The following is a 25,949-nucleotide window of genomic DNA, read 5'->3' as shown; positions in this document are numbered from 1 at the left end:
CCTACCATCTTCCACAAGAAGTTCTGGACCCCTGTGGCTCTCTCTGTGGCTCTGAGGGGCCTGGGGCTGGATTTTATGTCCCTGAAGATGATGGTGTGCTGCCAGAAGGGCAGTTGTGTGCTTCCAGAGCAGAGACAGTAGATTCACAAAAAGGTGAAGATGTTAGTTTGCCATACCCAAAGCAATTATTGAGCCTACTGCCTACAGTGAACAAGATTTGGGTGATACTGTCTCCTCTAGAAGCTATCAATTACTGGGTGCTATTGGAAGGTTTTGTCCAATTTTCATGGGGTGGCAGGGGAGGGAGAGCTATAATTCCAGAGTCATCTATGTGGTTCCAAAAGCAAGGAAAATTAATACATCTCTGATCTTCAGAATTTAGCAACTGTCATGAAGTAAAACGATGTTGTGGCCACTAAAGTTGCCAGTAGTGAAGGGTTATACTAAGATCCACCAGTGGTTGAGAAGAAATGCCATCAGGACCCAGTTCACTTTGTTGTGACATTCTAGTATTATTACTCAGAAAATTTCATGTTTTTATGTGGACAAACTGGCTTAGTAAAAATGAGCCTGCTGTTTCTCAACTAGCTTGGCACCAAGTCAATACATGCTCTTGCCCACCAAGAAAGTAGCTGCTAAAATGCAAATAGGGTCTTCAGACTGCAGGGATACATGATGGAAGTATCCACTGATCAAGCCTGGCACACTGGAACTCATGGCAGGCTCGAGACCAAAATTAAGCAGTGTGAATAGTACTGGCATGCAGGATGTTTCAGAATCTCAGTGAAATTTCAGAACAGCCTATTTATTTTTTAAGTACACACTATGGGCTGGTCTTTGAAATTGTGAAAGCGGGATGGAAAAAGTTTAATATATAGACATTCATTTATTTGCTTCCCAGCCTCATTTTCAGCTCTGATTCTCAAATTCTAGCCCTTCTGCCTGATATTCCCTCAACTTATAAAACTGTAGCTCTTGTCCTTATTGACACATACCTTTTAAATTCTTCTTCTGTCACTTTAACATCATTTTTAGGGCAGGAAGAGGGAATAAACATTTGTGGTTAATCCCCCATAATTATCTAGAAATTAATGTCTCAGATTCTTTGAGGCTTGGGAGACTACATTAGGTAAAGTTGAGGAATGCTGATACATTCTCTAAATACAAAATTCAACCCCGGCTAACCTCCAGGACCTGGGCTTGTATGTCTTTCAAAATATACAAGACTTTAATTTTTAAATGAAATGTTAGATAATACAAGAGATAAAATGAGTATTCACTAACATCGTTTTCAAAACAGCCATTTGTACCAAATCACAATTTTATGACAAAAAAATGCACTTTTATTAGGTATTTACCTTGTTGCCTGTTGGTAATAAGCTTTGGAAAGAACTTTGATTGATGCAAGCAAAATTTCCAAAACAACATGGAGGCAGTGTGGTCAAGTGGAAAAAATCACATGTGCTCACATTAGACAGACTTGGAGTCTCAACCCAGTGAGACCTAGCCTAATCACTGAATCAGTGTGCCCATAGTTGTGAGTAATTATACTCGCCTCACTGAGATGCCATGAGACATCAATAATACATGTCGGGGAAATGTCCAGCAGAGGTTGATACTCACTAATCATGAAGCCCCATCTCCTTCTCTTCTGGCCAGGGTTGCTGAGCATTGGAGGTGACCCAGTATTAGAGTATATGATTCTTCATTTGCTACAAGAGAACACCTCATCTGGGTCACCAACAGCTTTCTGACGAATGCTGAGGAAATTGTGTGCAACTAATTCCTACAACGAGAATCCCGTACCCACTGTGATGGGTGATCTGTTTGCTCAAGACAGAGGAGCCCATTAAGCAAGCATCACGTATGACCTGTTACCGGGGTTTAGACACCATCTGCAGCCTGGCTTGCTGCCCATTGCACGTTGTGGCCGTGAATCAACATTGTGACAGAGAGGGCACTGGGTCAGCTACATTCCATTAATGGATCAAAGTGTTTCATTTAGATTCCTACAGCAAAGGAGAAGGAATATGGATGATATGTAGCCTGGGATGGACAAAAGCTTAGTTGGCAGAAACAGACATATAGAATTTTTTAATGTAAATCTGACAAAGCCAAAGTCCCTGATGAATTTACACAACATGGTTGCCATAATTAAGTCTTCCAACCAATTGGTTCTCAATATTTTTCTCACCACTATTCAAGGAGGCCACAGGTGCTATTAGGGGCTATCAGGACTTTTAAAATCCCCATCAGGTGATTCTGTTGGTACTTACCATCTCAGTAGAGCAGCTCATTTTACTCTATAGGCCAAAAACTTTACCATAATAATTTTAATGCAGCTTGTTTTTAATCAATTTGGAAACCTGATTTTTAAAATTAACATTCATTGTTCAGGATGTAGAATTTTCAGCTGCTTTGCTTTTTTTTCCAAAGACATTTTACATTCTCAATATATCCATAGTGACAATTCATATTATATTCTCCAAAATAGTTTCTTATCATTTATTAACTACATCAAGTCCATAAAGGCAATTTTTAAAAGAAGATATTTAGCGGCTACTCACTCTACCTTTCATTAATATTAGCTACCTCTGGTATCATTTGGGTTGGAAAAATAAAGGTGGGGTTTATTTTACATAACAGAATGAAATTAGACCCACAATTATGAAAATTATAAGACCAGGAAAAAAATCTTGATAAAGAAGAACTTACATTGTTTAAATGCATAATATACATAATATATAATATATAAGTTGAGAAATAACTTTTAGAAGAGAAAATTTGATCACAGATGGGATTTGAGTGTAATATTTTAACACATACTCAAACATGGCTTGTTCATTTCATTTTCTCTCCATTAGGGCACAGATGGTGTTAAACATTTCATTCTGGGCCATGTATAACTATAATTTGTCTAAATTGATGGCTGCAGTAAGAATGCATGAATGATTGTGTCAGTTTGTTCACTTGGAGAGAATTTCAATTATACACAGTGTTGTAGTTATTATTAAAATAAAATCAGAGGACTGATTCATCATGGCTTTCTGGTGAGCATACTATTTTGTAGGTGATTTAATTAATTGCATACATATATGATTAACAGTATCTAGAGTGAATATAACTATGGGTGAATATATTGATGTTGTAATAATGATGTACTTTCTTAATATTAGTTATTTATTAATATGAGAATAATAGTAAACGACAAAAAGACTAAAGTGAATCCTGAATTAACTTTTGTCTGGTAATTGATTTTAGGTGGAAAAAGCTTAATATTTCAAATCAAACAGCTAAACAAATAGATTTTGTCATTAGATGGGGCTGTTAATAATTGAGTGCCTTCCAAATAAGGTCCCAAATAAGAAGGAAATCCATGAATTTTGTTACTACATGACTTTTTGTGACTCAGTAATTTATGATTTTTATGAAGGCCATGCTCTTACCCTCCACTTAGGTCAACGCAGTAGGATAAGCAATGTGCATCAAATATACTGATTATATTCACAAAATGAATCTACATATCTTTGGAATCAAGCATTGATTTAGAGAGATCACCAATAAATAATGCCAGATATGTGGTTTAAAAATCGTTCTTTTAAATTCAGAATTGTATAAGCACTAGGCATGTACAGTTTTTTACAATTAAAAGAAAAAATAGCTAAGTCAGGGAAATTATATTCTCCTTTGTTTCTCTCCTAGGAATTATTTTTGTCTGCAATCAATCCTTCAGAAGAATCTCTCACATCTTCACTTTTGTGCAGTATGTTAACTATGAACAAAATGATAGTGTATGTCAGTCAAATGTAATACTTATATTAAAACCTGATTATTAATGCAGAAGCTCATGGAAAGTAAGGTTAATCTGAATAATATATTATTTCTCTTAGTCCACAATCTATCATTTCACAAACCATGGTTAATAGAATGACAAAAATAAAAAGCTTTGTTTAAATGAAAATGTATAATATATTCTTCATCTCATTTATATCTTATTGTGTTAGGTAGGCGAACATAGCTAGTCTGTGAATGTGATAAAAAGAAGATGATACATTTCTTTGTTTTAAAAATCTTAAGTATTCCTGCTAAATAGTGAGTTTCCAAAGGCTTGCTATTATTTAAAATATTGCTTCCTAGTCTATTAACTTATTAAACAAATATCTTACAGTTTAAAGGATTCAAAAAGGCTGGTTAAAAGAAGAGATCTATGCATTAAAAAATCCCAATTTCTATTTTTTAATATTAAAAACATTCCTTTTAAATATCTTTTTTTCCAACTTTTATTTTAAGTTCAGGGGTACCTGTGCAGGATATGCAGGTTTGTTACATAGGTAAATGTGTGCCATGGTGGTTTGCTGTACAGATAGTCCCATCACCTAGGTATTAAGTGCAGCATCCATTAGCTATTCTTCCTGACCCTCTCCCTCCTCCCACCCACACCCTCCGACAGGCCCCAGTGTGTGTTGTTCCCCACTATGTGTTCATGTGTTCTCAACATTCAGTTCCCACTTATAAGTGAGAACATGTGGTATTTGGTTTTCTGTTCCTGCATTAGTTTGCTGAGGATAATGGCTTCCAGCTCCATCCACGTCCCTGCAAAGAACATGATCTCATTCCTTTTTATGGCTGCACAGTATTCCATGGTACATATGTAACCACATTTTCTTTATCTAGTCTATCATTGATGGACATTTAGGTTGATTACAAGTCTTTGCTATTATGAATAAAGCTGCAATGAACATATGCACACATGTATCTTTATAACAGAATGATCTATTCCTCTGGGTATATATACGCAGTAATGAGATTGCTGAGTGAAGTGATATTTCTGCCTCTAGGTCTTTGAGGAATCACCACACTGTCTTCCACAATGGTTGAACTCATTTACACTCCCACCAACAGTGTAAAAGTGTTCCTTTTTCTCCACAACCTTGCCAGCATCTGTTGTTTCTTGACTTTTTAATGATAACCGTTCTGACAGGCATAAGATGGTATCTCATTATGGTTTTGATTTGTATTTCTCTAATGATTAGTAATGTTGAGCTTTCTTTTTTTTTTTTTTTTTGAGACGGAGTCTCACTCTGTTGCCCAGGCTGGAGTGCAGTGGCGCGATCTCAGCTGCTCACTGCTGCAAGCTCCACCTCCCAGGTTCACACCATTCTCCTGCCTCAGCCTCCCGAGTAGCTGGGACTACAGGTGCCCGCCACCACACCCAGCTAATTTTTTGTATTTTTTAGTAGAGACGGGGTTTCACCATGTTAGCCAGGATGGTCTCGATCTCCTGACCTCGTGATCTGCCCGCCTTGGCCTCCCAAAGTGCTGGGATTGCAGGCGTGAGCCACTGCACCCAGTCGCATGTCTTCTTTTGAGAAGGGTCTGTTCATGTCCTTTGCCCACTTTTTAATGAGCTTGTTTTTTTCTTGTAAATTTATTTAAGTACCTTGTCGATGCTGGATATTAGACATCTGTCAGATGGGTAGTTTGCAAAAATTTTCTCCCATTCTATAGGTTGTCTGTTCACTCTGATGATAGTTTCTTTTGCTGTGCAGAAGCTCTTTCGTTTAATTAGATCCCATTTGTCAATCTTTGCTTTTGTTGTAATTGCTTTTGGCATTTTCTTTATGAAATCTTTGCCCGTGCTTATGTCCTAAATGGTATTGCCTAGATTTTCTTCTAGGGTTTTTATAATTTTGGGTTTTACAATTGTCTTTAATCCATCTTGAGTTGATTTTTGTATATGGTGTAAGAAAAGGGTTCAGTTTCAATTTTCTCCATATGGTTAGCCAGTTAGTTCTCCTAGCACCATTTGTTAAATAGAAAATCCTTTCTCTATTGCTTGTTTTTGTCAAGTTTGTTGAAGATCAGCTGGTTGGAGGCGTGCAGTCTTATTTCTGGGTTCTCTATTCTCTTCCATTGGTCTATGTGTCTGTTCTTGTACCAGTACCATGCTGTTTTGTCACTGTAGTCTTGTAGTATATTTTTCAGCCAGGTAGCATGATGCCTCCAGCTTTGTTTTTGCTTAGGATTGTCTTGGCTATTTGGCCTCTTTTTGGGTTCCATATTTGATCATAGTGGATAAGCTTTTTGATGTGCTGCTGGATTCAGTTTGCTAGTATTTTATTGAGGGTTTTTGCATTGATTCTTATCAAGGATATTGGCCTGAAGATTTCTTTTTTTGTTCTATCACTGCCAGGTTTTGGCATCAGGTTAATGCTGATGTCATAGAATGAGTTAGGGAAGAGTCCCTCCTTTTCAATTCTTTGGAATAGTTTCAGTACAAATGGTACCAATTCTTCGTGCCTATGAAGTGAATCCATCTGGTTCTGGACTTTTTTTGGTTAGTAAGCTATTTATTACTGCCTCAATTTCAGGACTCATTATTGGTCTATTCAGGGATTTGAATTCTTCCTGGTTCAGTTATGGGATTGGGGGTATGTGTTCAGAAGTTCATCAGTTTCTTCTAGATTTTCTAGTTTATGTGTATAGAGGTGTTGATAGTATTCTCTGATGGTTGTTTGTATTTCTGTGGGGCCATTGGTGATAGCCCTCATCACTTCCGATTGTGTTTCAATCTTCTCTCTTTTCTTCCTTAGTCTTGCTAGCAGTCTATCTATTTTGTTAATTTTTTCACAAAAACACCTCCTGGATTTTATTTTTTTTAATGTGTTTTTTGTGTCTCTAACTCCTTCATTTCAGTTCTGATCTTGCTTATTTCTTGTCTTCTGCTAGCTTTGGGATTTGTTTGCTCTTGGTTCTCTAGTTCCTTCAGTTGTAATGTTAGCTTGTTAACTTGACATCTTTCTAGCTTTTTGATGTGGGCATTTAGTGCTGTAAATTTTCCTCTTAACATTGCTTTCACTGTATCCCAGAGATTCTGGTTCATTGTTTCTTCATTCTCATTAGTTTCAAAGAACTTCTTGTTTTCTGCCTTAATTTCATTATTTACCCAAGAATCATTCAGGAGCAGGTTGTTCAATTTCCATGTAGTTGTGTGGTTTTGAGTGAATTTCTTAATCTTGAGTTCCAATTTGATTGCATGGTGGTTTGAGAGACTGTTTATGATTTCAGTTCTTTTGCATTTGCTGAGGAGTGTTTTACTTCTGATGATGTGGTCAACTTTAGAGTAAGTGCCATGTGGCAATGAGAAGAATACATATTCTGTTGTTTTTAGGTGGAGAGTTCTGCAGATATCTGTCAGGTCCACTTGACCCAGAACTGAATTCAGGTCCTGAATATCTTTGTTAATTTTCTATCTGAATCATCTGTCTACTATTGTCAGTGGGGTGTTAAAATCTCCCACTATTATTGTGTGGGAGTCTAAGTCTCTTTGAAGGTCTCTAAGAACTTGCTTTGTGATTCTGGGTGCTCCTGTATTGGGTACATATATACTCAGGATAGTTAGCTCTTCTTGCTGAATTGAACACTTTACCATTATGTAATGTCTTTGTCTTTTTTTTTAATCTTTGTTGGTTTAAAGTCTATTTTGTCAGAAACTAGGATTGCAACCCCTGCTTTTTTCTGTTTTCCATTTGCTTGGTAAATTTTCCTCCATCCTTTTATTTTGAGCCTATGTGTATCTTTGCATCTGAGATGGATCTCTTGAAGACAACATACCGATGGGTCTTGGTTCTTTATCCAGCTTGCCATTCTGTGTCTTTTAATTGGGGCATTTAGCCCATTTACATTTATGGTTGGTGTTTTTATGTGTGGATTTGATCTTGTCATCATGATGGTAGCTGGTTATTTTGCAGACTTGAAAAATATGGAATGCTTACAAATTTGCGTGCCATCCTTGTGCAGGGGCCATGCTAATCATCTCTGTATTGTTCCAATTTTAGTATATGTGCCACCGAAGTGAGCACCCAATTTCAATTCTATTCTCTTCGTTCTTAGAAAATAAAAATTTGAATTATTATATTATTATTTGCTTATCCTAGTGTGAAAGATGTCACTTGCCTGGACGATTCCAAATCCTCTAGCTTGCTATGGTTCAAACATCCTGACTTATATAGGGATGGGAACCTAGTTTCTTGTCAAGAGAGTGGGGAGTGGCGTGAAGATTTAAGTTTCTCAAAATCTCTAGTTATAGTAGTCTTCTGCTTCCTCTGAATCCTTGATCCATGCTTTCATTTCACCACCTGCTGATGCTGCCCTTGTTTATGTGGAAATAGGCATGTCCTCCACTCACAGTGCCCAAAGTCTCCCCCAATCAAGGCTGTGATTGTAGTAAACTTAATGAAGAGTTTGGGAGGAAGGCAAGGGGAAGATTACAGTATAGCATATATAGCAAACACCTTGAAATTATTTATTAGATATCCCTATTTTTAAAGCATCTTTGCATTGAAATGAGTGGGAAATTATATTTCTTACATCTCTGAAGCTCCAGCTTCCTGCCAAGTTGCTAACCAGCTTTATTTCCTCTGACCTGGCCCCATCTCCTCTCTGAAAAGGTTACCCTGCCTGTCCAAGGTTCTGTTCGCTTCTTTCACAGAATAAAACTGGGGCTATTCATATAGCCTCCATTCATTAAGACATTGCTGGGATGCAGTTGGGGGACCTGAGGATTATTTTCCAAATCAAACACACCCTTTAAGGTGCACTGGTGTTCAGCAAAGACAATTATTTCCCAGAGACCAATTCTGTAGTTATCAGCGTTTGGTTCTTTTCCCTCCTCATTAGGTAGAAATCTGGGAACTGAAGACTTAGAATTTGACGTGAGGTGAAAGGGAGATGTGAATAAAGAAAATTTGGAAGTATTATCAAACTTCAGATTTAGAATAGGATCCCATCATTTTCTGTTATGGGCAAGGAAACTGAGGTCTAGAGAGATTAGGAGCCTTGCTGGAGGTTATATAGCACTTTCAAGCAGAAATTGTATACAAGAGTCTTATCTAGGGCTGTTTCCATTATCTCACAAAACTTAATTTCTCAGAATCCAAAGAGCATTTCAACTCTGTACATCTAATTCTCAACTGCGTTGCCAGCAAAAGTCCCACAGGAAAGGATACAGGCATATAGCAGGGGAGGCCTGCAGGTTACCTAAATCATATTATCTCAGATATACTAGCATGGTCACTATTCACATTTTACTGCTATGTTAACCATCCATGTATAATTAATTTCCTAATTTCTAGGCATGATAATAATGTTATGGAAGGCAGTTTTCACATGCTTTTACTAAAATCCTTTGAAATCTCCATCAGAGATAAAATACTAGACTGAAGCCTTCTTCTTGTCATGACCCATAAGAAAATGAATTGGTTAATTTCCTAAAGTTCCTAGAAAAACCAAGAGTGTGAGAGAGACTGGGGCAAGAGATGGAGAGAGAGAAAGAGAGTAAGATGGTTGCAGTAGATGAAGATGCAAATGGAAAATGCTAAAAGTTAGTCATGTTGCTGATATATACAAATGTTAATCTTTTAAGAGAAATATTTAACATTATCATCCACTGGCAGAAATTAAATACCTTCTATAATAAATTAGATTTCTGGCACTTTTGCCTTAAATTTGCTATAACAAATATCTTTTAAAAAGTTTATAAGTGTTAAGAAAATATGAGTAATAAACTTAGGAGAGTTGACTGAAATAAGTAACTGAAAAAAGCATACAAGATAAAGAGAAAAATGTGTCCAAAACACTTCTGTTCACAGAAAGAAAGTGTCTTCAGCGGAATTCAGACATTTAGCAGCAAAGTTGGCTGTAAACATTTTCCCAAACAGTCAACAGGACAAAGAAAATGCTCCTGTGAGAACAGTAACCAGATCTTAAGGCTCTGGTCTTTGATGTTTGAAGTATTTCCCCAGAACTGCCACAATCTTCTTTCTCTCCTACCCCACTGGAAGATCACAAAAGTACATTCTTGTTCATTCCCTCTTTCTGTTATCCTGCCAAAAATACACAGTCACTGATAAAGCTCACCAATGATTCATTACATACCATCCTCCTAAGGTTTCCAGTATAAATGCCATTTTTAATGAGCCTCTTTTGTTTCATTAATGCTAACAGACATTTAATAGCAATGATGGGTGCCAAATGATTCTTACGGTACCATTTCATTGAAACCCAGATGTTTCTGCACAGACAGAAACAAAGGCACCAGCCCCCAGGTTCTTTTCCTACATTCTAATTTCCTTAGCAGTTGGCTGAGCTTGGATTCATTTGAAAGTAGGAATAGTAAAATGTAACTATTCTTTTTATATTTCCCCTTTTCCCTATAGATTAATTTGATTTTCTTCATTCTTCCATTTTTTTTTTTTTTTAATGAGACGGAGTTTCACTCTGTCACCCAGGCTGGAGTGCAGTGGTGCATCTCGGCTCACTGCAAGCTCCACCTCCTGGGTTCATGCCATTCTCCTGCCTCGGCCTCCCGAGTAGCTGGGACTACAGGCACCCGCCACCACCACACCCGGCTAATTTTTTGTATTTTAAGTAGAGACGGGGTTTCACGGTGTTAGCCAGGATAGTCTCGATCTCCTGACCTCGTGATCTGCCCGCCTCAGCCTCCCAAAGTGCTGGGATTACAGGCATGAGCCACTGCACCCGGTCTTTTTTTTTTTTTTTTTTTTTGAGAGGGAGTCTTGCTCTGTCACCCAGGCTGGAGTGCAGTGGAGCAATCTCGGCTCACTGCAAGCTCCGCCTCACGAGTTCACGCCATTCTCCTGCCTCAGCCTCCCGAGTAGCTGGGACTACAGGCGCCCGCCACCATGCCCGGCTAATTTTTTGTATTTTTAGTAGAGACAGGGTTTCACTGTGTTAGCCAGGATGGTCTCGATCTCCTGACCTCGTGATCCGCCCGCTTCGGCCTCCCAAAGTGCTGGGATTACAGGTGTAAGCTACCGCGCCCGGCCTATTCTTCCATTCTTTACTGATTAAGAAACATGAAATAAAGAATGAGAAAAAGAGGAAGAGAGATAAAAAATTAAAATTTAGGTTGAGAATCTATTTTTATTTTTAAATATCTTAATGTAGAGTAAACAACCAGAAATACAATAAAATAATACACACTTTTGAAACCCTGTAAAAAGAAGCCAGAACCTGGGCTTGCCTTGTGGAGGAACTGTAGCTTCTTGGAGCCTCTATGTGCTACAATGATGGCCCTCTCCAAACCTATCCACTTTGAGACTTGATTAGAATCCCCAGTTCTGCCCCTGGGTTATGCATCTGGGTTGCATGGGTAAAATGGTCCTGGACAAGTATTGCTCCCACTGCCTCATAAGATGTCATTCCCCAAACAAACCAAGTCCCCAGAAGCAAGGATCATGACAAAGTTGTCTAGAGCAGCATGCAGAGAATAAGAAAGGTAATATAAACTAGAATTCCACTTTACCCGCATTGTCTTAGAAATGAATGCCTATTATATTCCTTTGGTGTGAGGTCCCAGGAGAAAATTTTGATCATTTCAGAGCAGCCTTCTGTCATTGTTTGGCAACTAAGTAGAGAGACAATAATCAGAAGAGAGAATATGGGTGCAACAGCATCAATCCTCTCCCACATCTGTGCTATATTTGTAATTTTCTATATACATAAAGCAATAGGGGGCACCACAAATGTTCTCTAGCCAGACTTCCAGACCCTGTCTTCCAAAGCGAAACTCCGGAAGCTGAGGCATAAAATAACACAGAAATAGTCAAATGGCATCAGTCACTAAGACCTTCTGATTTTGCTGCTTTAAATATAACTCCAACTTGCTCCCACCTCCCTCTCTTTTTCCCTGCCAGTGACCTAATTCAGAACCTCTTCACCTCTCTAGTCTCTACTTTTAACAACTTTAAAACACTAGACAGTAAGTAAAACAGTGATGAGAAATGTAAGTGCTCCTTCCTCTTGCTTTACACGTATGTAGTCGGGATCTTTTCCTGCTATATTAAAGGGGTAGGGGTTGCTAGAGACCAAATTTTGCCTCTTCCAGAAATGCTCCATAACTGTGCTAGTTCTTAGGTGAATTCTCTGCCTCTGCCACAGTTCTATGTAGTCAATAGAATGCCAGGCTAAGATTCACACTACCTTGCTCTGCCACCACATCTGTGACCTCAAGCTTCTCTTTCAATGGTCCTATGAAAGGAGTGATTCCACATGAAATAGGTTGTCTCAGGCACTACTACTAGAAATCTTATTTCATGACTGACTGCTTGCCACATTAGCACATCATGTCTGATAGGTTCAATTCTGAATTTATGATTTTTAACTTCTACTTCTTTATCCAACCAAACCAATTCTCCTTCTTGTACTCCTTACTGTGGGAAAGACATCACCTTCTACCAGAAACCTGGAGACTTCCTCAACTCCTTACACTCCACATAATCAGTCACCAAGTTTAAAAATATTCCCCTAGTTGGTCCCGCCTTCCCAAGCCCACTTTTAATGCACTAAAAACTCACCATCACTCCCTTTAACTGCAGACTGGCTCTCCCTGGCTTCCAGTCTTGCTCTTACACCAATGTATTCCTCACCCTACTGGCTGATTGGGGTTTTTACAATAAAAACCTGATAATGACCGGGCGCGATGGCTCACGCCGTTATCCCAGCACTTTGGGAGGCTGAGGCGGGTGGATCACCTGAGGTCGGGAGTTCGAGACCAGCCTGACCAACAATGGAGAAACCCCGGCTCTACTAAAAATACAAAATTAGCCGGGTGCGGTGGCACATGCCTGTAATCCCAGCTACTAGGGAGACTGAGGCAGGAGAATCGCTTGAACCCGGGAGGCAGAGGTTGCAGTGAGCCGAGATCATGCCATTGCACTCCAGCCTGGGCAACAAGAGCAAAACTCCATCTCAAAAAAAACAAAAACAAAAACAAAAACAAAAAAAAAACTGACAATGTCATTCTTTCTTAGAACCCTTTAGTTATTTTCCAGTGATACAAAATAAAATCTTGACTCTTAGCTTGCCTTACATCTTGCCCCTCCTAACTTTTCCAGACTAGTCTCCAGTTCCTCCCATTACGTCAGCAGTAGTCAATCCAGCTCCATCAACACCATTCCCTATTGAGCCTGTGACCCAGCCTATTTTGCCTCTGGCCTGAGATCACCTTTTTCACTTTAGTTTCTTATTCAAGACACTGGCATTTCAAACTGACGGGTTTTTTTGAACTCCGTTCACTGTGGTATTGTGGCACCAGTCCACACCTCTAACAGGGCACTAATAACAATAGGTTTGTTTACATGTCACCTCCTCCTCCAGAATGTAAGTTCTTCTCAGTAAACTTTTTATGCCCAATGCCCACAATGGCTTAGAGCATAATAGGGTTTCTTAGGCATTTAATAAATGTTAATTGAATAAATTTGGTTAAAGAGATTATTGTATAAGAAATATGCAGGGGAGTTGAAACATACGACCTCCAAAGTCCTTTCCAACTTAGACTTTCATTGAAGGATATCAGTCCCTTCCATGTTTTTGAATATCACATCTATGTATGACTATGTATACATATGTATATGTATACATGTATGGCTATGTATGACTCCCAGAGCCATAATTTCAAAGCTCTCAATCTGAGCTTTCGACTAAAATATCCATCTGCCTGTTACATAGCTTCACTTATTATCTAAGTTGGCATCTCAAATTCAATACGTCCAAAATTAACTTACTTTCCCACACAACTTGTTCCACCTTAGCAGTTTTTTGTATTTGCTAATGACACCATTGTCCTTTCAGGGACTGCTGTTAAAAACATCCTACATGGCCACTCTCTTCTAAAATAAATCACTGCGTAGACCTCTGCATTCCTCTTTCCTAAAATTCTTTTTGTCGTTCCATAGGCTTACAGTCTCCATCAAACTGCTTGTGACTCTAATTAGCACTTACTTCATTCTGACTTGCATGCTATATTTCCATCTCTGTTCCACATTTCAAGATTTCTGTAGATAGACAGCAGGTGCTCAACAACTCCTTGTAGAATGGCTGCATGAAGGTTGGGATGTTAGGTTTAAATTGCCTTTGCGGCACGGATCTTGTTTTACACTTTTTTGTCCCCCACCCCCCGCCATAAAAAGAGCAGAGAAAACAGGGAACACATATATTAAAAACTGAACACTGCATCTATTATTCTAACTCGGAGCTGTTGCAACAACTGGCGGCAGTTTTAACAAAACAAGCCACGCTCTGCCATTAAAAAAAAAAAAAAAGTCCCTTAGACTCAGCTCCCAGCTAAAACAACCCAGGATCCAGGTTTCCCACCCCCTTCCAGTGGTCTGATGTGCGTCGGAGGAGCGAGGAGAAAGGAGCAAGGAGCAAGCTGGGCCTGAGGAGCAGGGAGCGCGGGATGGGGGACGTCCCGGAAGTCACTGACGAGCTGGCTGCCGCCTCTGCGGGATCAGTTTGGGCTGAGGGCCCAACAATAACAGGCGCCCGGGCCGGGCGGGGGCCGCGGGGATCCGAAGCTGGAGGGCGGGACCTGGATTGGAGGAGGCGGGTGGGACGCCTCCAAAGGCCGAAGGGGATTGGAAGAGGGAGGTAAGGGGCGGTGGAGCTCGAGGAATGGGCCGGAGAACTAGCGGGTCGAGCGAGGAGCGAGCATGCTGATTGGGTTTCGCGGAAGGAGACGGACCAGAGCTGGCCGAGGATTGGCCGCGGTGCCTAGGGGGCGTGGCCGGCGCGCGCGAGAGGGAGCGCGAGGGAGCTGGCTGCGGGCCTGCCTGCCAGCTAGCCGGAGCCGCGGGTGAGCGCGGCGAGCGGCGACCCTGGTGAGGAGCGCGGCGCGGGAGGCACGTTCCTTAGCTCCGCCGCGGCCGTCCTCCGCGGCTCGAGGACTCCGCTTCCTTCCCTCCCCTCCCCTGCGCTCCGGCCTGGGGTCTCGGCGCGGGGAGCGGAGGGAAGGGACGAAGGAGGAGTAGGTGAAAGCGGGGTGAGGGGCGGAAGGGTCCCGGCGCGGGGTGAGGCGAGGGCTGCCTCTTGTTCTCCCGCCGCTGCCGCCGTCTCCTGGTCGGGTGCCGCGGCCAGAGGCGCGCGGGGCTGCCGAGGCACCCGCACTATGCAGGCAGACTGCCGGCCGCCGCGATGGCGAGCCGGGCGGTGGTGAGAGCCAGGCGCTGCCCGCAGTGTCCCCAAGTCCGGGCCGCGGCCGCCGCCCCCGCCTGGGCCGCGCTCCCCCTCTCCCGCTCCCTCCCTCCCTGCTCCAACTCCTCCTCCTTCTCCATGCCTCTGTTCCTCCTGCTCTTACTTGTCCTGCTCCTGCTGCTCGAGGACGCTGGAGCCCAGCAAGGTGAGTGGTCCCAGGGGAGTGAGCGGCGGGGGAACCTCCGTCGGGGCTGCGGGTCTCTTGGCCCCTGAACAAATCTGCAGACGCTGCAGGGAGGCGCGGTGCGCTTTCGTGCGTGGCCGGACCTGGCTGGGTACTCACGGGGTTGAGTTGCAAAGGCAAGGTCTTGCCCGTCTGTCCCCCAAGTTGGCGCGGCTTTACTTTTTGGCAAGGCCATTTATTTTTCTGAAAGGGGGACGTGAGACCCTGCTATGAAAGCCTCGTTGATATTAGGTCCTTCTGGGGAAAATTTTGGGGAGGAAAAAGAACCTTTGGAGGTAATGACCCCTAAAGTTAAGCTGCACGGATGGATGGACACTGTAGGAAGGCAGGTTAATTAAATAGCATCTTAAGCCTATTAAAGGTAAGTGGTGGTAATTATGATCCTTTGTGAAAGAGCCCGGGTTCTGAAGCGAATGGAATAGTTTCTGCTTATCTCTGAGTCTTGGATTCAGAACATGTTCTTTACAATCCATCATTGAGGCTGGTGGTCTAGACTGCCTTGGTCAAACACTGGGTCTGACCCAACGCTATGCTAATTTGCCCAAGTGAAGCTCTCCACATTAAAAAGGTAAGCCTTTCCAGAAAGTGACAAAACTTTTTTTTTTTTCCACCTACAATCCTTGAAAAACCTGTTCCAGAAACAGGCAAAACTGTTTATTAAATACTTATCATAATGGAAGGAGAATGCAGGGTGATTTCTTTTCCCCTTTAGTACTGTTTTCCCGTAGTGTACCACACTTTTTGAATCAGTTTGGCATCAGTTTTTGAAAAGATATTTCCATTGCATTTTCCATTTTATTGCAGTGGGAAGGATAAGGATTGGATTGTTACTTATTGCTAGGAAGAGAGTTTTTTAAAAAGAAAATTGTTCTCTGCCTTTAAGCCCAGCTTTATGTTGCTCTCATGGTTTTCAGTGAAGTATGGAATCATGGCCTGTCATTAAGAAGATGCCGAACCTTGACAGGCATGTGGAAATATAATCTCTGTAACTATAAGGAAAAAATGTATTTGGCAAACTGACCCCTTACATCTAGACACGTTTCTATATAGAGTAACTCAAAATTTAGATGCTTAGCATTTAGGTTTTAGTTAGATCGTCTTCTAAAATTACTGAACATCATCATCATTTAATATATTAAAGTGTGAAATCCTTCTTTCCACTGTAGAGATGTATTTCCCTCCTGGTAGGGGGGAAAACAGGCTTATATATGGCTAACACTTAGGGCTTACTTTGTGGCTGGAACAACTGGACTAAGTGGTTTGGGTTTATTAACTCCTTGAATCTTCACTACAATCAGCTGAGATAGTTATTGTTATCCCAGTTCAAACGTAAGGACATTGAGACACAAAGAATATAAGGTACCTTGATGCAGGAGGGCATATTACTCCATAGGCAGAGTACTCTGCTTTGCTTGTTTCTGGATCTGATAGTGTTTGTATCATGTTATTAAAAAAAATCTTGGAACAGTATAGAATCAGTTACATGTCTACCTTCCAAATGAGGGATTGCCTTGTTTTTAGAAAAGGCCAGTCTACCGGGCGCGGTGGCTCACACCTGTAATCCGAGCACTTTGGGAGGCTGAGGCGGGCAGATCACGAGGTCAGGAGATCGAGACCATCCTGACCAACATGGTGAAACCCCGTCTCTCCTAAAATACAAAAAATTAGCCGGGCATGGTGGCACATGCCTGTAGTCCCAGGTACTCAGGAGGCTGAGGCAGGGGAATCGCTTGAACCCGGGAGGCGGAGGTTGCAGCGATCGCGCCACTGCACTCCAGCCTGGCGACAGAGCGAGACTGTCTCAAAAAAAAAAAAAAAAAAAGAAAAAGAAATAGCCAGTCTAATCAGACAAGCAACATTACTTCATTTTTTAAGGTTTAATATAATTTTTTTTTACCAGAACATTTTAACAAATACATTTCTCTTTAACAGTGTCATCTTATGTAAACATCAACATAAATAGAAATGATTCTGATAATTAAAAGACTTTTTTTTTTTTTAGTTCTTCTAAATTGCTTGGGTAAATTTTGCTAAATCATTTAATATTTAATCTCTTTGTACCTCAGTTTTCTACATCATTAAGGTGAGCATGCATACCTATCTCATAGCTTAATATAAATGAAATGATAGTATGCAGGAATTTTGCAAAGGGAAAAGCTTAAAATAGCTATAAATGATTATTACTAATCTCGATCTTACTAAGTTGATAAATTAAGAGCTAATTAGGTATACATCATCTGAAAACTCACAATTATTTGAGATTTGAATTTTCTCATTTTTAAAAATTAAATTTTTTACTCAAAGGACCCTAAAGCAGCCCGTGGTGGAATTCCTTTTAAGCCAGTCTTCCCAGTCTAACAGATGTTCTTTAGGGTCTACTGATATTCCCTCACATAACCTGAAAAGAAGTCTGTTTAAAACACCTTTAGAATTTTTAATGGGATTTGTACATGTTGTAATGTTCAGCTACAAGGTAGAGTTTTTACTCTATAAGAAGTCTTAAGACTGGAAGGAAATAAACTGTTGACAGTTGTTGTCTTTTGGTGGTAAAATTGTGGGACATTTCTTTATACTTTTCTAAATTTTCTGTAATTCGCATATAGTCAGAATAAAAATTAAACTGCAAAAAAGGTTTCTTTGATAGATTTTTTTTCTTTATTTGACAACTGAAGGTAGAAATGCATCTAGTATGGAGAGGTAGAAATGTGCTTCAGTGTCTTTTTTCTTTCTGACATCATTTTGAAATAGCAGAATATATTACCTTCATTCCAATTAATGTCATACATAGCTATTCCTCAATAGATTTTCTGTTCACAATGACCTTTCTTTTTATTTGGCTCCGAATAAAATGTATCATTAGTTTGAAAACTTACCGACTTTTCACAACAGATGTATTTTAACCAGTTCTGTTTCACTTATAAATTTATAAATATATTCTGTTTACCTCTATTTATTATGTTGATGTTTCACATATGGCTTGTATTTGTGTAGAGTTCTAAGTTGGATATCAAGAAGTTGGTCTTCGAAATCTTTTTTATTGAAGACTTTTTTTCTGTAAAATGTACCTCTCAAAAAAATTAAATTGGTGAAACTTATGCTGGTAGCATATTTGCTATTGTATTAAATTTATTGGAAGTTGATGGTTTACTATGATTTTAGGTCTCTGGTTTCCATTATGACTGTAGGAATTTGGGTTACTTCATATCAGGAGCTCAGCTTCCTCATTTGTATCCTGGAAGGCTTGCCTACTTTCTTGGTTAGAATGTAATTTGAACATGGTAAAATATCAGGGAATTAATTCTTAAAAACCATTAAGCCTGATTTGTTTGGGCCTATTAATATATAACATGTTGTGAAGATATTAGTTTTTCTTTGCTAATTTAATCTGTGAAACAAATCAGGTTCATTCTTAAAAAGGATGTTTCAGTTATTTGAACATATTTGGAACCAATATGTGAAAAAGTTTATATTCTGTCAAGGAATGCCTTTATTTGCTTGTGATGCAGGGAAATATTTTTGAACAATATTTGTGAGTTGCCAGAAAATAAAAACTTATTTCTCTCTGCAAATAAACATTTGTAATTATTTTTCACATTGACATTAGGTTAATTTAGAAATTTCCATTGTCTTTTCTTTGTCTGATAAAACATTGGGGCTCTTATCCAGTTTTGTTCAGAAGCAAATAAATCAAAGCATCCTTTTCTGCTATATTTCTAATTAATTTTACAAAATGAAAATTAGAAGCAGCACACAATCCACACGTGTGAATGATCAGATTGAAACAGCACATTTTTGAAACTTGTAAATGAAAAATTGATTCTAAGATTGCAGGTAAATTATAGGTAGATTTCTCAGTGTTAGAAACAAAAAGAACATATTATTTTCCCTGGGGATAGTTGATAATTCCATTTGAACATCTGAGCCTCATTTTAAAGACAAACATGTAAAAATATCTTAAAATGGTGGAATTGGCATAAGTAAAATACCAGTAGTAGAATTAAAATGACAAATTAATTTCCAAAAGTTAATAGATCATGTATGTGGGAAAGGGCTAGATTTACATAGGAGTAGAATTTAAATTTAGGACTACACTTAGCAAAGTGACACTGGGAAGTGAAGCTCAGGTAGTAATGTTGGACATTAATTGAATGCATACAAGTAGACAGTTTCTGCTTCCACTTCTTGATATATTTGGAAGGATATGGAATGATGACCCAACAGTAGAAGGATGAGGAAAAGCTTCATAAAGATAGTGATATTTGCTAAGTGTGATTGTTGAAATATGAAGTGAGACAATTTGGCAATTTTTCTGATGTGGCTCCTGGATTCGGTTTTCTTTATAACAACCTTACGGCCATAGGACTTTGTATTTATTTTTAAATATTGTATGGATAACAATGATTATTACTCAAAACTAAAAACGTAGATGATTATCCACATTTCTGTCTTCTAATCCATCGACTTATAATTTTTAACTTTCCTTTCTATTACATATTCACATACCTGCATAATCTTTTGTAGTTGTAATTTTAATAGTGTGTTCATGTAAAATTAACTTATAGGCTAATTTAGCACACATAAGCATACCTACAAAATACAGTAAAACAAAAATTTCAAAATGCAAAATTTTATCATAAGACATTCAGTATTTATAAAGTAATTACTGTATTGTTCAGAGCTGTTATTGTATTTAATTGAATTCTTCATTCTGGAGAAAAATCTTTGAGAAAGTATTTCAGTTCAAAATGTTAGTTTAGAAACAAATATCAGGCTAATTTTTCAGTTCATTATTTGGGTTAAATTAGTACAACCTATGAGGACAGAAAATACAGATATTCAAATAAACTAGTATCTAATGAGTGCCAGTGCAGTACCCACTGAAGCTGATGAGATACTCATGATTTCCAAGGGCTACTAAAACATCATTCACCAGCTGAACGTGCACCCTGATGGGTGTGTAATTGAAAGAAAAACTTTGATTTGCTGCTTGAATTATGGGAGAATCCCAAGATGCACGTTCCCTCAACTGCTTTTTAAGGAGAGTGGCCCAGAATTCCCTGCAAGGCTTTTGTTGAGTAGGGTGTGTGCAACCTTGCCTTCAAAACTGAATTGCCTGGGATCAAAGAGAAGGTATTGGCACTCTTTATCATTCTCTCATTAAGAACTATCAGTATGAAGGGGTACCAACTGTGAACTCTCAAGAGAGTGTGCATGTACCTCAGTATAGTCCTGAGACATTCAGAGAAGAGTAAAACATTGTTATTGTCTTCAGAGAACCTACAGTCTATTTGAGAAAGTAATTCAAGTTGGAATATATATAATAATAACCAAGGAAGGATATCAGAAGGTTATGTAAGGCAGAGAGAACTCACCACTCCTGGAGAAGCAGGAGACGCCTACTATAATAATAATCAAGGAAGGTTATAAGAAGGTTGTATAAGGCAGAAAAAGCTCACAACTCCTGGAGAAGTAGGAGACGCCTCACTGATAAAGTGGTTTTAGATTGGTAAGCTTTGAAGTTTGGTAGGTTTCTTGTCCACAAGGAACAGCAGATATTTGAAGAGTAAGATCATAAGATTATAACCTGGGGAGTCAGGAAAGTGGGAGTGTGAAAGCCCACCCTTTTAGAATGAGTAGCAAAACTCATTCTGGTCATGCTCCACTGTTTGCTTCTTGAACTCATGCCCTGTGTCTGCCCAGTTATTGGAAAAACGTTGGTTGGTTACTGTGGGCCAGGCATGGTACCACATGCTGGGGCATTTTCCTCTTGGAGCTGTGTTAATGACTTCCATAGTGTTGCCAGCAGCCCCTTTATCATCTGTAAGATACCGTCCAAACTCCTTTGCGTATCATGTAAGTAATTTTTTTCACAGTCTGGTCCCTCCCTTTCACTCTGACTTAATCTAATGCCAGCATTTCTCACACTGTATAGTTCAGATATGAGACTGAGCTAATTTTATTCTTCTAAGATATAATTTCATGCCATTTTGCCTTGTTCCCTATACTAACCTCTTCATATATGCAGTTTCCTCTACTTGAAATGCTCTTACTTTCCTTGTCTTCTCGGTAAACTCTCGATCAGCCTTCAAAACCCTTCTTGGGTATCATCCCTTTATGAAGAGTTCTCGAACAGTCCCCACACACTCATCTCCGGATAATACATTCCACACTGTATTCTAAGTATTTATTCCTGCCAGCGGAGAGAGTTTTATTCATTTTCTTATTTCTAATACTTATCATAGTGTCTGTCATTCAAATTATGTGAATTAAGAACCCCATTTCTAGAGTTAATCTGCTACCCTGAGCACATTATTTGGTTCATCCCTTGGCACCGGCATGCACTTCATGCTGTTGTCCTTTGCCTAATCCCCGTAAATTAGTGGTCAGTTCAGGAGCCGGGAACAGAGCCATGTCTTGACCCTTACTACCTGTTTGCTCAGAGCCTAACAGTCTTCCCAGCCTTTCCCAGTCCCACCTCTTCCCAGGAGGAAGACTCCTTTGCTGCACACCCTTGACTATGAGAGGAATCCTTCAAGCTGAAATTCTGAAAATAGACATGCCTACTTCTTAGAAAGCTCTGCTCCCCTCAGATGGGTCATCCTTAACAACCGTGACAGCCTAAATCAGTGCCAGCAATTTGGGCACACTTTCTCCTTTGCATGCTTTCAGCTTCTGACTTCAATAGGCATCTCCAATATTATAAAAGTCCCCCTAGTTTTTGTTCTCGTAGTTGCCTGTCTCCTTTTTCTTGCCAGTGGATGTTGCTGGGGAGCATTCAGGTAGCTTCACTAATCTGGTGTAATAGAAAAGTAATGAGAAATGGAGGCTGGAACGTATTGTGGAGGACTTCCCATTGAGGGGCAGACTGAGGAGTTTGTATCTGCGATGTTAGGCCTGACATTAGCCTCAGGTGCTTCCTCTTTCACCTGGTTCATTTGTCTGTCACTAGGTTTGGTTATCTCTTCTCAACTCAGGCACCCCAAATCCATCATCTCAACAATGCTCTTTCCGTGATCTTGGACAGTTCCCAAACTTGGGCCCATGTGATAATCCCCATTCTCTGCTTTCTCTGGTTCTGGATAGCTCATAGTTACAAGATTAAGTCATGTGGTCATCGTGATTAGATCTGCCACAAATGAGGTCTGGCTAATCAAGTCCCAAGTGGGGATTACTGCTTAGCAGACTATCTCACTTTGTAAAGCTGATTTGTACAGCCGAACTCCTGCCCTGCTCCTAATCCTTGCACAGTATGACTTCCTCCTGACTGAAACCTTGTCCTCTTCCTCTTTATCAGAGCACTGCTACATTGGGGAATGTGAATTTTGTTTTGGCATGCTTTACACTTTGATGGCACTTTTACTTTATATCTGGAAACATGCTCAAAATGCCACTGGCTTTTACATATCTCTTTTTTCATTGCTTTGTGGTACCTTGTATCTCTGCTTTTTTCAGTGACGAGCTTTCTAAATGGTAATCTACATTTGTGCTGTATATTTTCTTAGTGACTGGCACACAGCAGATATTTGTTAAATTGTTAATTTATTTTTTAACCCTTGCAATAAAAAAGCAAGGGTTTTGTTTCTGCTTTACTGAAACTGTCATTTACACTGTCAGATTTTTGTTTGTTTTGGTTTTTGTTTTAGTTTGAAAAACCAAGCAGCTTTGCCTATCTTTATTATTGGTTTCTTTTTTTTTTTTTTCTTACTACAGTGGTCTTTGAAAATCTGGAGGCTTTGGACTTGGACATACCTGGATTTAAATAATAGCCTTGTTGAACTTGACATCCAGTTACTACTCTAAATATTTTAAAATATGTAACTCATCTTTCTTTTTAGACTGTAACGAGGGCTGGGATTGAATCTGGGTAGCAAGTAAATTTTTGTTCAATGAATGAATCAATATGTCAAAGAAAATTTTGTTTCATTTTACTCTGCAGTTAAAATTTCCATTTTTATATGTTTCCGTTCCACTAAGACTCACTTTTCCATCCCTCTTCCCTTTATCCCCAATTATTGTTCCACCCCCAGCTCAGTGAGAGGAGTCAGAGCATGCAATAGAGGAATGTGGCAGAAAGGCATGACTGTCTCCAGCCCACCCAAATCTTAATGTGAGTTCTGTGCTCTCCTTTTTGACCTTTGCTCTGCCTCTTCAGCCTTCTGCCTGTTGGTGTGCTTCAGTGTTTTTTGATCCCCACCATCTCAGATCATTTTATCTCTTCTTTCCTGATATACCTTTGTTTCTGTCTACTCTTGGCATCCTAAAAGCCAGCTTTATAGGTCTGGATGTGAGGTGGACATTCTTTTGCATGCATGGAGGAAGAGTGTTTTAGTTAGGACTTTTGAGGTTATAGAGAACAGAAATCCATATCTGATTAAGGTAGAAGGAGAAACTATTGGGAGGATTGAGAGGGGAAGGCAGGAATGCAGCTAGACTTCAGGAACCAAGGACTCAGCTTAGTTCTTCCCTCTTGTTTCAGTCTGGCTTTCTCTTTGTGGAAGGAATCATGGCTGCTGGCAATCCCGAAGGCTTACGGTTTTAACACGGAGAAATTCTGTATTTTCCCTATTGTACAAGGTCCAGGAAAGGGTGAGTTGGCCCTCACATTGACCCAGTGTGATTCAGTACCCACCCTTGGACCAGTCAAATAACCAGGGGGCATGAGGTCATATTAAAACTGTTGGGAAACTGCAGAGCACCTTCCAGAGAAGGATAAGGCAGGGTACTAGATAAACAGAGGCATCCTCTTCTAGGAGAAAGAGTGTTACATTTATAAAGAGACCACTGTATTTTAAAGAAGTTCTTACTGAACCTTTACATTTATCTTGGGAGATGGGTGGTGGTATCCTCATCCGTGAGGTAGTTGCATCCTCACCAGTATACTGGTTAGGGTATGTAAGCTTGTGGCAGTTAAGTGTCCAGGATCTTGAAAACTGGCATGTCTAGAATTTGAATCTAAGTCTGTTGGACTCCAAAGCCTATGTACTTTCTAATGTGTTAGTTGTCTACCATAACATTAGTTTAGGCTTATTTCTCATTCAACAGCATGTGCTAAGAGCCTTGTATGTTTTATTTCTGTGTGTATGCTTATAAAGGTGAGTAGAATGCATTGCCTTTCTAACCAAATTTTATAGGTTGGTATGGTAACCTGACATAAATATGCATAATTAAGCATATTAAGTACAGAAAGATATTATTATGGAAATAGGGAGAAACACCAGGAGCTTCAGAAAGGTTTCACAAAGAAAATAACATTGAGTAGGTATTTGCTAGGTGGATAAAAGGAGGAGGGACGTTATTCTTGGCAGAGTGGAATGTTAAGTGCAGTGGCACAGAGGTGAGAGCGTGGAGCATGTGGGGAGTCACCTATAGTTCAGGACTGTGGAACAAAGAGGTTGTGGGAAAAGTGAAGAGATGAGACCAGAAAGGGAATCAGGGGCCAGATTATGATAGCCTTTGTATCCTGGCTGAAGCATTTGAACTTCGTTGTATCATCAGTGGAAAACAGTTAAAGGATTTCTAAATAAGGGACCTACATGACCCAGTTAGTATTTAAGAAACTCTGGCTGAAGTGTGGACAGTGGATTAGAGGGAGAAAAGATAGAAAGTGGGGAAACCTATTAGAGAACTTTGCAAGGGCCTGCACTTGTTCAGAGGGACTAAATTTAGAACTGCTAAGGAGATAAAAAGTATAAAATATAATGATTAGTTAAATTTGAGAGAGCCAAGTCAGTTTAATATTGAGATTTTTCTTTCTGGAATCTTCTTCCTCTTCCTGCATTCCACTTCTCTCATTCACCAGGATTTCTACCTAGCTAACTGCTTGCTTGCTTGCTTGCTTTTTTCTTTCTTTCTCTCTCTCTCTCTCTCCCTCCCTCTCCCTCTCTCCTTCTCCCTCTCCCTCTGTCACACATGCACACACACACACACATTCTCACACTCACACTGAAGCACTCATTACTTCCCTGTAGTACTCATCATCCCTGGAATGACTCTCTGTGTTTGTCTTACTCCCTATATTGTAAACTCTGTAAGGACAGGGGTCTTGTCTGACATTTTTACTGTTGTTCCTAATACCTAGTAGCACACTGCTGGACATGTGGAGGTTGTTCATTGAATGCGTAGGACATGTGGAGTTTCAAATGAAGTGGAACTTCTGAGCAAAAGTGCTTAGTATGTATATAGATAAGATTGAAGACTTTGGAGCTTTCTCCATTTAGTGACAACTGAAGTCAAGGAGTAGATTGCCCACATAGAATACAGAGTGGGGAAAGAACTCTGAAGAATAGCAACATCAACAGCTGGTAGTAACAAGGTTACATACAGTTAAGGTCTGCGAGATGCAGTTGGAGGGTTAAAGGAATTAAGACATGGGAGGAGAGATTTAAGAAGGAGGGAGGGGAGATATGAAGTAAGGGAGAAGGAAGCAAGAGAAGGAAGTGCCAGCAATGCCAGATGCTGTAGAAGGTAACAAAAGATAAGGATGGAAAATTCTCCATTGGCTTTTGGCAGCTCAGAAACTGACTGCTTTAGTGAAGAGTTTCATTGGATATGTAGATCTGTGTGTTTCCTAGGGCAGCTGTAACAAAGTACCACAAGCTTAACTGACTTAAATTTATTGTCTCACAGTTATGGAGGCTAGAATTCTGACAGCAGGGTGTGCAGAGGGCCATGCTCTTTCCTAAGACTCTAAGGTAGGATCCTTATCTCTTTC

The 25,949-nt window shown here is 39.9% G+C and overlaps 1 protein-coding gene, 2 long non-coding RNA genes and 1 pseudogene across 6 annotated transcripts in view, besides 5 other annotated features; 1 reads left to right on the top strand and 3 right to left on the bottom strand.

Annotated features, from left to right (window-relative positions):
• The window catches only part of LINC00973 (long intergenic non-protein coding RNA 973), an 84,276-nt gene extending 82,521 nt beyond the window's left edge, over positions 1–1,755 (bottom strand). Inside the window, exon 1 of the long non-coding RNA NR_186665.1 lies at positions 1,624–1,755. This is a non-coding gene — a long non-coding RNA (long intergenic non-protein coding RNA 973). The remainder of the gene's footprint in view (positions 1–1,623) is intronic.
• Positions 7,757–7,862, bottom strand: RNU6-1263P (RNA, U6 small nuclear 1263, pseudogene; annotated as a pseudogene).
• Positions 10,925–14,307, bottom strand: LOC105374002 (uncharacterized). 2 transcript variants are annotated; one of them, NR_189120.1, is made up of 3 exons: positions 14,176–14,307; positions 13,804–13,899; positions 10,925–11,428 (listed from the first exon to the last, which is right to left on the bottom strand). It is a non-coding gene; the product is annotated as an uncharacterized LOC105374002 (long non-coding RNA). The 2 variants fall into 2 exon arrangements; NR_189121.1 differs by having other exon boundaries at positions 13,804–14,307.
• Positions 14,295–15,010: an enhancer, noted in NCBI's record as "H3K27ac hESC enhancer chr3:98620155-98620870 (GRCh37/hg19 assembly coordinates)". NCBI's record gives its function as "activates a minimal SCP1, AML or CMV promoter by ChIP-STARR-seq in primed H9 embryonic stem cells {active_cell/tissue: H9 hESC(primed)}" and the evidence as "EXISTENCE:reporter gene assay evidence [ECO:0000049][PMID:30033119]".
• Positions 14,295–15,727: a biological region, named in NCBI's record as "H3K27ac hESC enhancers GRCh37_chr3:98619438-98620154 and GRCh37_chr3:98620155-98620870".
• Positions 14,308–14,357: a silencer, noted in NCBI's record as "silent region_14563". NCBI's record gives its function as "represses an Ori minimal core promoter by ATAC-STARR-seq in GM12878 lymphoblastoid cells {active_cell/tissue: GM12878}" and the evidence as "EXISTENCE:reporter gene assay evidence [ECO:0000049][PMID:35858748]".
• Positions 14,498–15,187: a silencer, noted in NCBI's record as "silent region_14562". NCBI's record gives its function as "represses an Ori minimal core promoter by ATAC-STARR-seq in GM12878 lymphoblastoid cells {active_cell/tissue: GM12878}" and the evidence as "EXISTENCE:reporter gene assay evidence [ECO:0000049][PMID:35858748]".
• DCBLD2 (discoidin, CUB and LCCL domain containing 2) overlaps positions 14,626–25,949 on the top strand; it is a 105,755-nt gene continuing 94,431 nt past the window's right edge. For 2 of the 3 annotated variants that reach the window (XM_011512419.3, NM_080927.4), the window contains exon 1: positions 14,626–15,199. In XM_011512419.3, coding sequence (XP_011510721.1) covers positions 14,995–15,199 — 205 coding nt within the window. In that variant the 5' untranslated portion in view covers positions 14,626–14,994. Of the gene's footprint in view, positions 25,930–25,949 lie in introns of all 3 variants that reach the window. The other variant, XM_024453348.2, reaches the window with a different exon arrangement.
• Positions 15,011–15,727: an enhancer, noted in NCBI's record as "H3K27ac hESC enhancer chr3:98619438-98620154 (GRCh37/hg19 assembly coordinates)". NCBI's record gives its function as "activates a minimal SCP1, AML or CMV promoter by ChIP-STARR-seq in primed H9 embryonic stem cells {active_cell/tissue: H9 hESC(primed)}" and the evidence as "EXISTENCE:reporter gene assay evidence [ECO:0000049][PMID:30033119]".

This window comes from Homo sapiens, chromosome 3 (genome assembly GCF_000001405.40).
Source record: "Homo sapiens chromosome 3, GRCh38.p14 Primary Assembly".
Taxonomy (NCBI): Eukaryota; Metazoa; Chordata; class Mammalia; order Primates; family Hominidae; genus Homo; species Homo sapiens.
This window is presented reverse-complemented; position numbering and strand designations above follow the sequence as displayed.